Source organism: Homo sapiens, chromosome 16 (assembly GCF_000001405.40).
Source record: "Homo sapiens chromosome 16, GRCh38.p14 Primary Assembly".
Taxonomy (NCBI): domain Eukaryota; kingdom Metazoa; phylum Chordata; class Mammalia; order Primates; family Hominidae; genus Homo; species Homo sapiens.
Genome location: NC_000016.10, coordinates 7,869,745 through 7,881,920, shown reverse-complemented (window position 1 = coordinate 7,881,920; position 12,176 = coordinate 7,869,745). Strand labels below are relative to the sequence as shown.

The window sequence follows — 12,176 nt, the reverse complement described above, 5'->3', positions numbered from 1 at the left end:
TGTATTTAAGGGTACCTGTCTTAAAGGAAGAATTGCTGGGGGGAATTATCTTAAAACTGTGTTTTCACAACAAGTACTTTATTCTCTTTTAAAATTTTAGAGCGTGCAGTAAATCCTCACTTAATATTGTTGATAGGTTTTTGGAAACTGCAACCTTAAGTGCAGTGAACTAGAATAAAACCATTTTTTTCCATCAATATTATACAAAAGGACACTGAAGCAATCAATGGTATTCGAGGACCTGCTGTATGTCATTTCACTTGAAGCTGGAATTTCTGAGAACCTGTCAATGATGTTAAGTGCACACTTACTGTATGTTCATGTGGAATGATTTTGCATACAGAGCTAATCCAGTTTTGGAGAAGGTGAGGTCAGTTAAACCCATGCCCCTACAGATTCATTCTTCTGCATTTTAAGCCTGTGGATCTTGCCTAGCCCAGTGTCTCGTAGGCGGCAAAATTTCAGCAAATGTTGGCTAAACTGAATGAAAAGACATAAAAATATATCAAAATCACTTATGTGGACTACTGTTTTCCTGGATGGTGCCAAATTGGATTGTTTGTAATGCAAAGGATAAATGCTTGAGGAGATGGATACCCATTTTCCATGATGTAACTATTGCACATTGCATGACTGCGTCGAAGTATCTCATATACCCCATAAACATACATACTTACTATGTACTCACAAAAATTAAAATTAAAAAATGCTATTTGATACCACCTATGTGTCTGATTCTGAAGCTATAGAAATGCAGACTCATGGCCGGGCACAGTGGCTCACGCCTGTAATCCCAGGACTTTGGGAGGCTGAGGCGGGCAGATCACGAGGTCAAGAGATGGAGACCATCCTGGCCAACATGGTGAAACCCCGTCTCTATTAAAAATACAAAAATTAGCTGGGTGTGGTGGCACGCGCCTGTAGTCCTACCTACTCAGGAGGCTGAGGCAGGAGAATCGCTTGAACCCACCAGGAGGTGGAGGTTGCAGTGAGCCGAGATTGAGCCACTGCACTCCAGCCTGGTGACAAGAGCAAGACTCCGTCAAAAAAAAAAAAAAAAAAAAAAACAAGAACAAAAAAAAGGAAAGAAAGAAAGAAGGAAATACAGATAACAGATACAGACTCAACCCAAAATAAATAGAGCCCATGGATGTTGATGGCGATCAGAGGAGATATTACAATGCATTTGAATATACCCCACTCAAGTAAATTCAAGGAACAGTGGAAATATTCTCTGAAGAATTTTATTTCAACATTACTTTTCTTCAAGCACATACAAATAAATACAATCCTATGTGGAGTTCCAAACTGGGTCCTCCAAAATATGTGATACTTCAGAAAATCTGATGAAGAACCAACACATTGGTGATGTTTAAAAACTCATAGCGTAGAATGGGGGAAGGGGGGAAGAGAGAGACAAAGAGAGACTGAGGTACTCAGAGTTAAATTTAAGGTATTGTTATATTTCAGTTGTTTTAACAGAATGAAACGACTATATTCAAAAGCAAAACAGAATTGCATGAGAAGAGGGCCGGGCACAGTGGCTCATGCCTGTAATCCCAGCACGTTGGGAGGCCAAGACGGGCGGATCACTTGAGATCAGGAGTTTGGGACCAGCCTGGCCAACATGATGAAACTGTGTCTCTACTAAAAACACAAAAATTAGCTGGGCATGATGGCGGGCACCTGTAATCCCAGCTACTCAGGAGGCTGAGGCAGGAGAATTGTTTGAACCAGGGTGGCAGAGGTTGCAGTGAGCCGAGATTGTGCCACTGCACTCCAGCCTGGCCCACAAAGCAAGACTCTGTCTCAAAAATAAATAAATAAATAAATAATTTTTTAAAAAGAATTGTGTGAGAAGGGGGAAATACTAAGTAAATCTACACATTAATAGAGAAATTAATCTCTTTCTAGGATTTGTCATTCTGCCATGCGATGTCAGCTTGCCATGTGATGTGTAATGATTTTTGTTTCCTATCATTAAGATTCTTTTCCCCTTTAAAGTTTCTCTTTGAATCCTTTCCCATTATATTAAAAATGGTGTTCAATGAGATTTGTCATGGGATGCAATTTTCTCTTTCTTTTCCTCTTTCCTCTCTCATTACTTGCCTACTTGCCTCTTGGAGGCTTTTCTTTTTCACTCTCTCAGGATCCAAACAAGCAGACTACACACAGAAAGATGACTTCATTTCTTCACCGAGTGTTTCGTGAGTGTCTGCTGCATGCTGGACACTAGCAAAGGCAGAAGGAATTCAACCACAACTGAAATGAACACCGGGTATCCAAGGGCAGGAGGAAAATGCTGGAGAAAGGACCTCAAGTCAAGTGATGGATGGCTTCAAGGAAGGCACAACAGAGAGCTGTTGGGGTCCAGGAGAAGAAGTATGTAATTCTGTCTGGGTGGAGTGGGCAGAAGCAAACAAACAAACAAAAATGTTTCTTTTCGGGCATGGTAGCTCACATCTGTAATCCCAGCACTCTGAGAGGCTGAGAGAGGAGGGTCACTTGAGCTCAGGAGCTCAAGATCAGCCTGTGCAATGTAGCGAGACCTCATCTCTATGAAAAATATAAAAATTAGCCAGGCATGATGGCATGTACCTGTAGTCCCAGTTATTCTGGAGACTGAAGTCAAGGCTGCAGAGAGCTATAATTGTGCAGCTGTACTCCAACCTAGGCAACAGATCAAGGCCCTGTCTCGCAACTACAACAACAAAAACAAAAAAATGGTTCCATAGTAGAAGTAATGCCCAAGCTGAGCTTTGCAATGCGAGTCAAGAATACCTGGGATGATGTTGGGAAAAGGAAATTCAAATTCTATATCAGACTTCTTCATAATTCCTGTCATTAAAGAACTCTCAGCCCACTTCCCTCAAAGCCTACCATCAGCCCAAACTTTCAGTGGAATTCATAATTATTGTTCAGCTCCACTTGTAATTTTCTTTTTGGAAACACTTGATTGGAAGATGATTATGAGAGGGTTAATGAAAAAAAGAGCCCCCAAAAATGCTAAACGCCAGGACGTCAGATGATGGAGAGAGAGGATCCCTTGAATCTAATTTAAACTAAAAAGATGTTTTTGAAACCAAAAATAAATCTTGCTCCAGAGTGATTACCAGATAAAACATTTTAGTTAGTGGATGGTGGACTGGCCCATATTTCATGTTTCCCGTCAATGTTCACTCTCTGTGCTACCTGAAGGGTCTGAGTGTTCAGCTGATGAATGTTTTGTGACTTTAAAAGACTATTTATCACCACCACAGCTAATGCAATTTTCCAAAGCATAATCCAAAGGCGTTTTGTGAAAAGAATTTCCTGCCTGAAAGTGTCCCCATCGTTACCTTTCTAGACTGTAGGTGGGGGCCACCCAACTTCTTGAGGCCTGACAATTATGTGATAGGATATGGTTTCCTGCTCCTTCACCTCTTTTTTTTTTAATGTTTATTTTAGATTCAGGGAGTACCTGTGCAGGTTTGTTACATGGTACATTGTGTGTTGCTGAGATTTGGTGTACAAATGATCCCATCACCCAGGTAGTGAGCATAGTACCAGACAGGTAGTTTTTTAACCCCAGCTCTCTTCACATCCTCCTCCCTCAAGTAGATCCTGGTGTCTGTTGTTTCCATCTTTGTGTCTTTATGTACTCAGTGTTTAGCTCCTGCTTATAAGTGGGAGCATGCAATATTTGGTTTTCAGTTTCTATGTTCGTTTGCTTAGAATAATGGCCTCCAACTGCATCCATGTTGCTGCAAAGAACATGCTTTTGTTCCTTTTTTATGCCTGTGTAGTATTGCACGGTGTATATGCACATTTTCATTATCCGATCCACTGTCAATGAGCATCTAGGTTGATTCCATATCTTTGCTATTGTCCTCCACCTTTTTGTTCTGGCTTAGCCCCAACAGGCTCCCTGTTTCCTCCCTCTTTTCTTGTAATCCTCCTCCCCTGCCCTGGTAGAAATGGTGGTCTGGGATATTGTTATGTGTATATTCACATGAGAGTTTGATGCTTTGGAAATTCTCCTCTCAGTGACTAAAAAGTTCTTTTTGGAAGACCAAGTATAAAGGAAGAGCAATAACTGGGTGAAGATGGCACCTGGGTAAAGTGGAGGCAGCAGGGAGATAGATAATGAAAGCAGAAAGAAGGTGGACCAGTAAGAGACTCATGGGCATCTATGTAAAGTGACTCCAGTAGTACCTGGAAGGTGGAACCACACAGAGAGATTCGCATCATCCCAAGGGGCTGCCTTGTCAGCTATAGATAAGATTAATCCATTTCTACTCAGAATCATTAGAAGGTTTCAGTGATATGTCTAAGAATTATTCTATTGATAGGTAGAAAAGAATTTTATTACAGTTAAAGGGCCATGTGTATACCTTGACAAAATCAACAGTTCCTATTTCATCTGGATTGTTTGCTTGACTTACATTGCACAGGTTGTGAGGTTTGTTTTTAACAATTTTTTTTTCTTGAGATGGAGTCTCGCTCTGTCACCCAGGCTGGAGTGCAATGGCGCGATCTCGGCTCACTGCAACCTCCGCCTCCCGAGTTCAAGCAATTCTCCTGCCCCAGCCTCCTAAGTAGCTGGGACTACAGGCAAGCGCCACTATGCCCAGCCAATTTTTTGTATTTTTAGTAGAGATGGGGTTTCACTCTGTTAGCCAGGATGATCTCGATCTCTTGACCTCATGATCCACCTGCCTTGGCCTCTCGAAGTGCTGGGATTACAGGCATGAGCCACTGCTCCCGGCTAATAAAATGTTTTAAGCATACGAAAAATATGCAGAATAATATGAAGACCACCTGCGCTCACTCAATCCACATTGTCAAACCTACATTTTATTACATCTGCCTCAGATAATTCTTCTACTTTAAAAAAAAAATAAAATTCTGCAGATAGGCCCAGAAATTCTAATCTTGGACTTTTCCTCCAAGTAAAATGAACAGTTATAGTCTCACAAAAATCTGTACATGAATGGTCAGAGTGGCTTTATTTATAATCACCCAAATCTGATAGCAATCCACACAGCTTCTGAGGGGTGAAAGGATAACAAATCATGGTATATCAATTCAATAGAATACTACTCAGCAATTAAAATCAGGAAACTACCAATACACACAACAACATGGATGAATTTCAAGTGTGTTTTTAGTGACGAAACCCATACTCAAAGGCTGCATGACTGCATTTTTATATTTCAGAAAAAGCTAACTTTATAGATAAAAAACAGATTAGTACATGCCAAAGGCTGGACGTGGAGAGGACTGACTACAAAAGGGGATGAGGAAATTTAGGGGGTGATAAGCCTGTTCTGTATCTTGATTTTGGTGGTGGCTACATTATAGTGTTTGGCAAAACTCACAGAACTGTACCCCATGATGAATGACTTTTATTGCATTTATTTTTTATTTTAATAAAGAAGAGAAAAAATAGTAACGAACATTTGTTTAAAGTCAGGGTGGTGTGTGTGTGTGTGTGTGTTTGTGTGATTGTAAACTACTGAGAAATAGGAAGAAAGGTGCTTGGTTTTCTGAGTACATGGGATGTAGAACCCACAAATATGGAATGGAGGCTCATGTGTATGTGGGGTTGAGAAACAGTGCTTTGTAAGATTTTTTTTTTTTTGAGCAGTGATGTCCTAGCCAATATCTGTAAGCTGAGTAGACATTCTTAAGCAAAAGGTCTTGTAGAAATTAAGTAACAAGTGTAATAATAACAGCATATTTGCATGGGATGCTTCTTCTGTGTCAGGTATTAAATTAGGTGCTAAACATATTTTGTTCTACAGATCTGCAGTACAAGTATTATCATGTCATTTCACTAATGGACAAGTACAAGTTTGGGTAAGTAAAGTCACTTGCCCAAGGTCAAAGAGAAAAATAAAATGATGAAAATGAGGTTCAAAGTTTGTGCAACTCCAACTTCCACCTGTGATATGGTTTGGCTGTGTCCCCACCCAAATCTCATCTTGTATTATAGCTCCCATATTCCCCGCATATTGTGAAAGGGGCCCGGTGGGAGGTAATTGAATCATGAGGGCAGGTCTTTCCCATGCTGTTCTCATGATAGTGAATACGTTTCATGAGATCTGATGGTTTTATAAAGGGGAGTTCCTGCACACAATCTCTTGCCTGCTGCCATGTAAGATGTGTCTTGCTTTCCCTTTGCCTTCCACCATAACTGTAAGGCTACCCCAGCCATGTGGAACTGGGAGTCCATTCAGCCTCTCTCCTTTATAAATTACACAGTCTCCGGTATGTCTTTATTAGCAGCGTGAGAACAGACTAATACAACCTGCTTTCCATTCTGCTGCACTGTTCCATCTTCCTTCTCAGAGCCCCAATCCCTCAGATGAATAATCCTCGAGAAGAGATCATCTTAAGGTTTTTCCAGTTCTGATATGCTAAAATAAAAGTAAGCTTTATCTGCTGGCCTAAACATACCCAGAGAGATCAAGACTTCCCTTCTCCATGTCTTCCTGCAGCCTGTTTTTATTTTTTTTATTTTTTTTTTATTTTTATTTTTTTATTATACTCTAAGTTTTAGGGTACATGTGCACATTGTGCAGGTTAGTTACATATGTATACATGTGCCATGCTGGTGCGCTGCACCCACTAATGTGTCATCTAGCATTAGGTATATCTCCCAATGCTATCCCTCCCCCCTCCCCCGACCCCACCACCGTCCCCAGAGTGTGATATTCCCCTTCCTGTGTCCATGTGATCTCATTGTTCAATTCCCACCTATGAGTGAGTTCCATTAGAAGATGAGTCTTTGTAGTACAGAATTAATTTAATAACTACTGTATGGAATGTACTACAATCATAACAATTTGCCCATATTTAGCCCTATCTCCAAATCTCAACTACCTAGAGTTACAAAGTTGGAGCTTCATCTTTTATGAAGGTAGAAAACAAAAAGATTATGGTCTTTTAAAGATCATATGAAAATTATATTTATATACATATACACACATATATGTATATATGACTGTATACCCATATATATGTGTATCTGCTTTCTTGTGTTCATATAAAAAACATATCTGCTCTATATACTTCTTGTACTAAATAGGGGAGTTGGAAATAATCTATAAAGCAAATTCAGAGAATGCTTGACAAGGATGCCTAGACTATTCATTAGAGAAGAAATAGTCTTTGTAACAGTGGTGCTGGGGCAATTGAATATCTACATGCAAAAGAATGAATTTAGGGTCCTATCTTACATGATATACAAAACATATTTCAAAATGCATCAAAGATCTAAATGTAAAAGCGGAAACTGTAAAACTCTTAGAAGAAAACACAGGTGTATATCTTAATAAAAAATAGATACATTGGATTTCATCAAAATTAATAACTTTTATGCATCAAAAGACACTAATAAGAATGTGGAAAGAAAAGCCAAAGAATGGGAGAAAACATTTGCTAGTCATACAGATGATATTCATATATAAAGAATCCTTAAAACTCACCACTAAAAAGTTAAATGCCCCAATTTAAAAATTGGCAAAGAACTTCAATAGGCATTTGTCCAAAGAAGATATTCAAATGACTAATAAGCATATGCAAAGATGTTCAACATCATTAGTCATTAGGGAAATACAAATCAAAATCACAATAATATACCACTTCACACCCACCAAGATCACTATAATCAAGAAGACACACAATTACAAATCTTGGCAGGAATGCAGAGAAATTGGAACTTTCATGCATTGCTGGTGTCAATGTAGAACAGTGTAACTGCTATGAAAGTCAGTCTGGCAGTTTCTCAAAAAGTTAAATATGTAGTTACCACTTGACCAGCCATCCCATTGCTACATACATACCCACAAGAATTGGAAATATCTATGCACATAAAAGCTTGTGCATGAATGCTCACTGCAGCATGATTCATAATAGCAAAATAGCAGGTACAATGCTAATGCCCATCAAATGATGAATAGATAATCAAAATGCAGTATATTCCTTTGATGGAATATTATTCGCTAGTGAAAAAGAATGAAGTGGTAATACATGGTACAACACGAACACCATTGAAAATATTGTGCTAACCATATACACCATGGAATACTACGCAGCCATAAAAAAGGATGAGTTCATGTCCTTTGCAGGGACATGGATGAAGCTGGAAACCATCATTCTCAGCAAACTAACACAAGAACAGAAAACCAAACACTGCATGTTCTCAGTCTTAAGTGGGAGTTGAACAATGAGAACACATGGACAGAGGGAGGGGAACATTACACACCGGGGCCTGTCATGGGGTGGAGGGCTAGGAGAGAAATAGCATTAGGATAAATACCTAATGTAGATGACGGGTTGATGGGTGCAGCAAACCACCATTGCACATGTATACCTACGTAAGAAACCTGGACGTTCTTCACATGTATCCCAGAACTTAATGTATAATAATTTTAAAAATGCAAAAAAAAAAAAAAAAAGAAAAAGAAAATATTGTGCTAACCAAAAAAAAAGCCAGACACAAAAGGCCACATATTATATAATGCGATTTTTATGGAATGCTCAGAATAGGCAAATCTATAGAGACAGAAAGTAGATTCATAGATGCCAGGCCCTCAGGGGAGGCAGGAATACAGAGTGACTATTCATATGTTTAGGGTTTCTTCTGGGGGTGATGAAAATATTTTAGAATTAGATAGTGTTGATGGTAGTGAAATCTTGTAAATCTGTTAAAAACACAAATATTACACTATAAAATGGCTAATTTTATGATATGTGCATTATCTGTTAATTTTTTAAAGTAGATTTAAAGAAAACAGGTCCTCATTGTAAAAGTGAGCTAAAGAGAAATATCTAATATAGAGAGAAAGAGAAGTAGATGTTACGAAAAAACTGGCTTTACATTACACACTTTTATCCTAAACTATAGACCTCTCCATGCAGATGTCTAATGGATGTCTCAAAATCAAAAAGTCCAAAGCTAAGCATTTTCCAGACTATCGAAATGAGCTACAATAGCTTCCCCATCTCCGTTGATGGCATTGCATTCTTCCTAATGCATAGGCCCCATCCACAGAGCTGAGCTCTACTGCTCAGTTATTCTCACACTCCACTTGCCATCCACTGGGAAGTTATTTTGTCCCTACCTTCAGAACATAACCTGAATCTGGCACTTCTCCTTGCCTTAACTGCCTCCATCCTAACATGAGTGACAAACATCTCTCTGGTCTGGATTTCCTCACTGGCTTTCTAACTGGTCTTTTTGGTTCTGCCATTACTCTAAAACACAACAGCCAGAGTGTCCCTTTGAAAATGGAAGTCAGTCTCGTCACTGTGTCCCAAATCCCTTGCAATGGATTTTTCTCATAGCAAAATCCCTACAAGAGCTTGCCACGAGTAACCTCTTTAGCCTCTCCTCCTCCTATCTCCCCTTTGCTCCCTCTGTGCTAGGCCCAATGGTCTCCTTGCTGTTATTCAAACATGCCAGGGACCCAGTAGCTGCAGCCACAGGGCCTTTGCACCGGTTTCTATCTAGACCCCCTATTTAAACTTGCAGCTCCACACACCAAACATGCCTGACTCTGCTTAATCTGTCGTTTTTCACTTATGAGCACCAAGGATGTGAGCTGCATGAGAGCAAGGACTTTTATTTCATTTATTCATGGATGTATCTTTGAAGACTATAATACTACAACATCATCTTACAGGCTAAAAGGAAGGGAGAAAGAAGAGAGGGAGGGAAGAAAGGAGACAGGGGAGGAAGGAAAGAAGGAAAGAGAGGAGGAAAGGAGGGAGGGAGGGAAGGAATGAGGGAGGAGAGGAAGGAAGAAAGGAAGATAATGGAAAGGAAAAAGGGAAGGAGGGAGGAAGAAAGAAAGGAAGGGAGGGAAGGAAGGGAGGGAAGAAGGACAGGGAAGGAAGGAGGAAGGAAAAGAAAGGAAGAAAAGAAAAGGAAGGAAGGCAGGCAGGCGAAGATTTAGACTATATGATATCTAAGGTTCCTATTTATGACAAAGAGCTCAGGCTCTGGGATCTAAATGACTAATGTGAAGAACGAACTGTGTGTCATGGCTGTGTGTCATTGCTAAGTAAATTATTTAAATCTCTGAGCCTCAGTTTCTGTACCTTCAACTTGGGGATAATTCCATTAACCTCATGGCGTTGTTATGAGGATTACTGAATCAGCAAGAAATTTATCGGAACTTCCTCTGGCCAAGGTCTTCCTCCATGATAAGGCTTCACTAACTCTATGGGACCCAATGCCATCGACATCAACCTCAAAAAGGTTTCCGCGGAGCTGCTCAGCTAAGAAGCTCTTCTGAGGAGAAAGTTGCTAACACTGTGATCGGCTCCGTTCTGTTTCTCTCGGCAGGATCACCGTCCTCCTGCCTGTTAAAGTGTGTCCTCTCAGCAGAGTCAACAACAAGGTGCCTTTCTGGTCGACTGATTCTGAAGCAACTTGACTCACACACTGTGATGTTTCCCATGCAGTGTCATTTCTTTAAACATCTTCCAACAGTCCTTTTGATTTCTTTCTTTTTTTTCTTTTTTTTTAAAAAAACCCTCAGTAATCAGGTTTTCTCAAATTTTCCACTTCATGATCCTGATTGGGTCAAACACTTGAAAATTATGTTAAGAGGCTCGGATCAAAGTGAGTCAAATTGAGTTGGATCTAATTCCCTGTAACTTCCAGGACACCATCACTAAATGCAAAGTTGTCTTGTGGCATCCTAGCAGGGGGAAGGTTACAGACGTTCTCATCCTAATAAGAAATGGAGCATTGGCTGGACTTAATCTCAGAAGGTAGTGGTGGTTTTGATTTATTAAATAAGACATCAGTAAAAAGAAGCAGCCCAAGCAAGCCTTCTCTGGTTAAATGTAAAATTACATTAAAAGCAGAAAGAAAACCCACGTCCTAAGGAGAAGAGAGTTGGACAAAATCATTATAAGGGAATGGAAGAATAAAATACACAACACTGCTGGTGGTAAAAGGAGGCCTAAGTGAAAAGCTTCCATATATTTAAATGGTTAGTCAATATCATAGAAGAAAAGAATGGAAGAGCCCAAATTCACCTTTGGACATATAAAATAGAATTAAGGCCGGGCGTGGTGTCTCACGCCTGTAATCCCAGCTATTTGGGAGGCCAAGGCAGGCGGATCACCTGAGGTCAGGCATTGAAGATCAGCCTGGCCAACATGGCGAAACCCTGTCTCTACTAAAAAATATAAAAATTAGCCGGGCATGGTGGTGGCTGCCTGTAATCCTAGCTACTAGGGAGGACGAGGCAGGGAGAATTGCTTGAACCCGGGATGCGGAGGTTGCAGGGAGCTGAGATCGCACCACTGCACTCCAGCCTGGGTGACAGAGCAAGACTCCCTCTCAATAATAAAATAGAATTAAAGCACAGGTAGAATTTCTCTCCAACATTTTACTAGGAAGATTTTCAAACATAGACAAATGTTGAAAGACCAGTACAATGAACATTCATATACATGCCACACGGAGCCAACAATAGCTCAAATTTGGCCAAATTTGTTTTATGTGTACCTATCTTTCTATATATATATATATATAAAATATAATATATATTATATATTTTAAATATATTATATATTTATATGATTTATAATATATTTATATGTGTGTGTGTGTGTGTGTGTGTGTGTATGTGTTTGTGTGTTTATCTGCTGACCTAGTTGAAAGTAAGTTGCAGACATCATGGCACTTGATTTCTAAATACTTCAGCACACATCTAAAAATCAGGACATTCTTCCACATAACTCAAATAGGCTTTTAAGATCATGGTCCATAAATCTTTCAGATCATAAAACTCAAGGAAAAATATTCATTTTACTGTCTGTAAATTGTCTTTGGTTTAGAATGACTTTGGGAGAAACACATTTTGGTTTTGACTTTGTATCTCACCAGGTCTATTCGGTTTGTGTGATTTATTCTATAGAAAGGACAGAATGGCAAAGCTGGGTTGCCCCTTCCCTCAAAAGACTGGACATAACATCACTCTCTGGGGTTTCAAATATGACATTGACACCTGGAAAATTAGTGAATGGATATATAATATCAGCCTGATGAAACAGGATGGTGGTGAAGCCTGTAAGTCTGGCCTTGAATCAGTATGTTGGAAAAAAGTCTAAGTTCTTCGAAAGGGGTTGGTAATGGTTAAGAAAGGGCGAATAGAGACTCCCATGTTAGT

General features: G+C 39.7%; 1 long non-coding RNA gene across 1 annotated transcript in view; it reads left to right on the top strand.

Annotated features, from left to right (window-relative positions):
• Positions 1–5,438, top strand: part of LOC105371069 (uncharacterized) — a 236,274-nt gene extending 230,836 nt beyond the window's left edge. Inside the window, exon 5 of the long non-coding RNA NR_197430.1 lies at positions 2,150–5,438. This is a non-coding gene — a long non-coding RNA (uncharacterized LOC105371069). The remainder of the gene's footprint in view (positions 1–2,149) is intronic.
• The last annotated feature ends 6,738 nt before the right edge of the window (positions 5,439–12,176 follow it).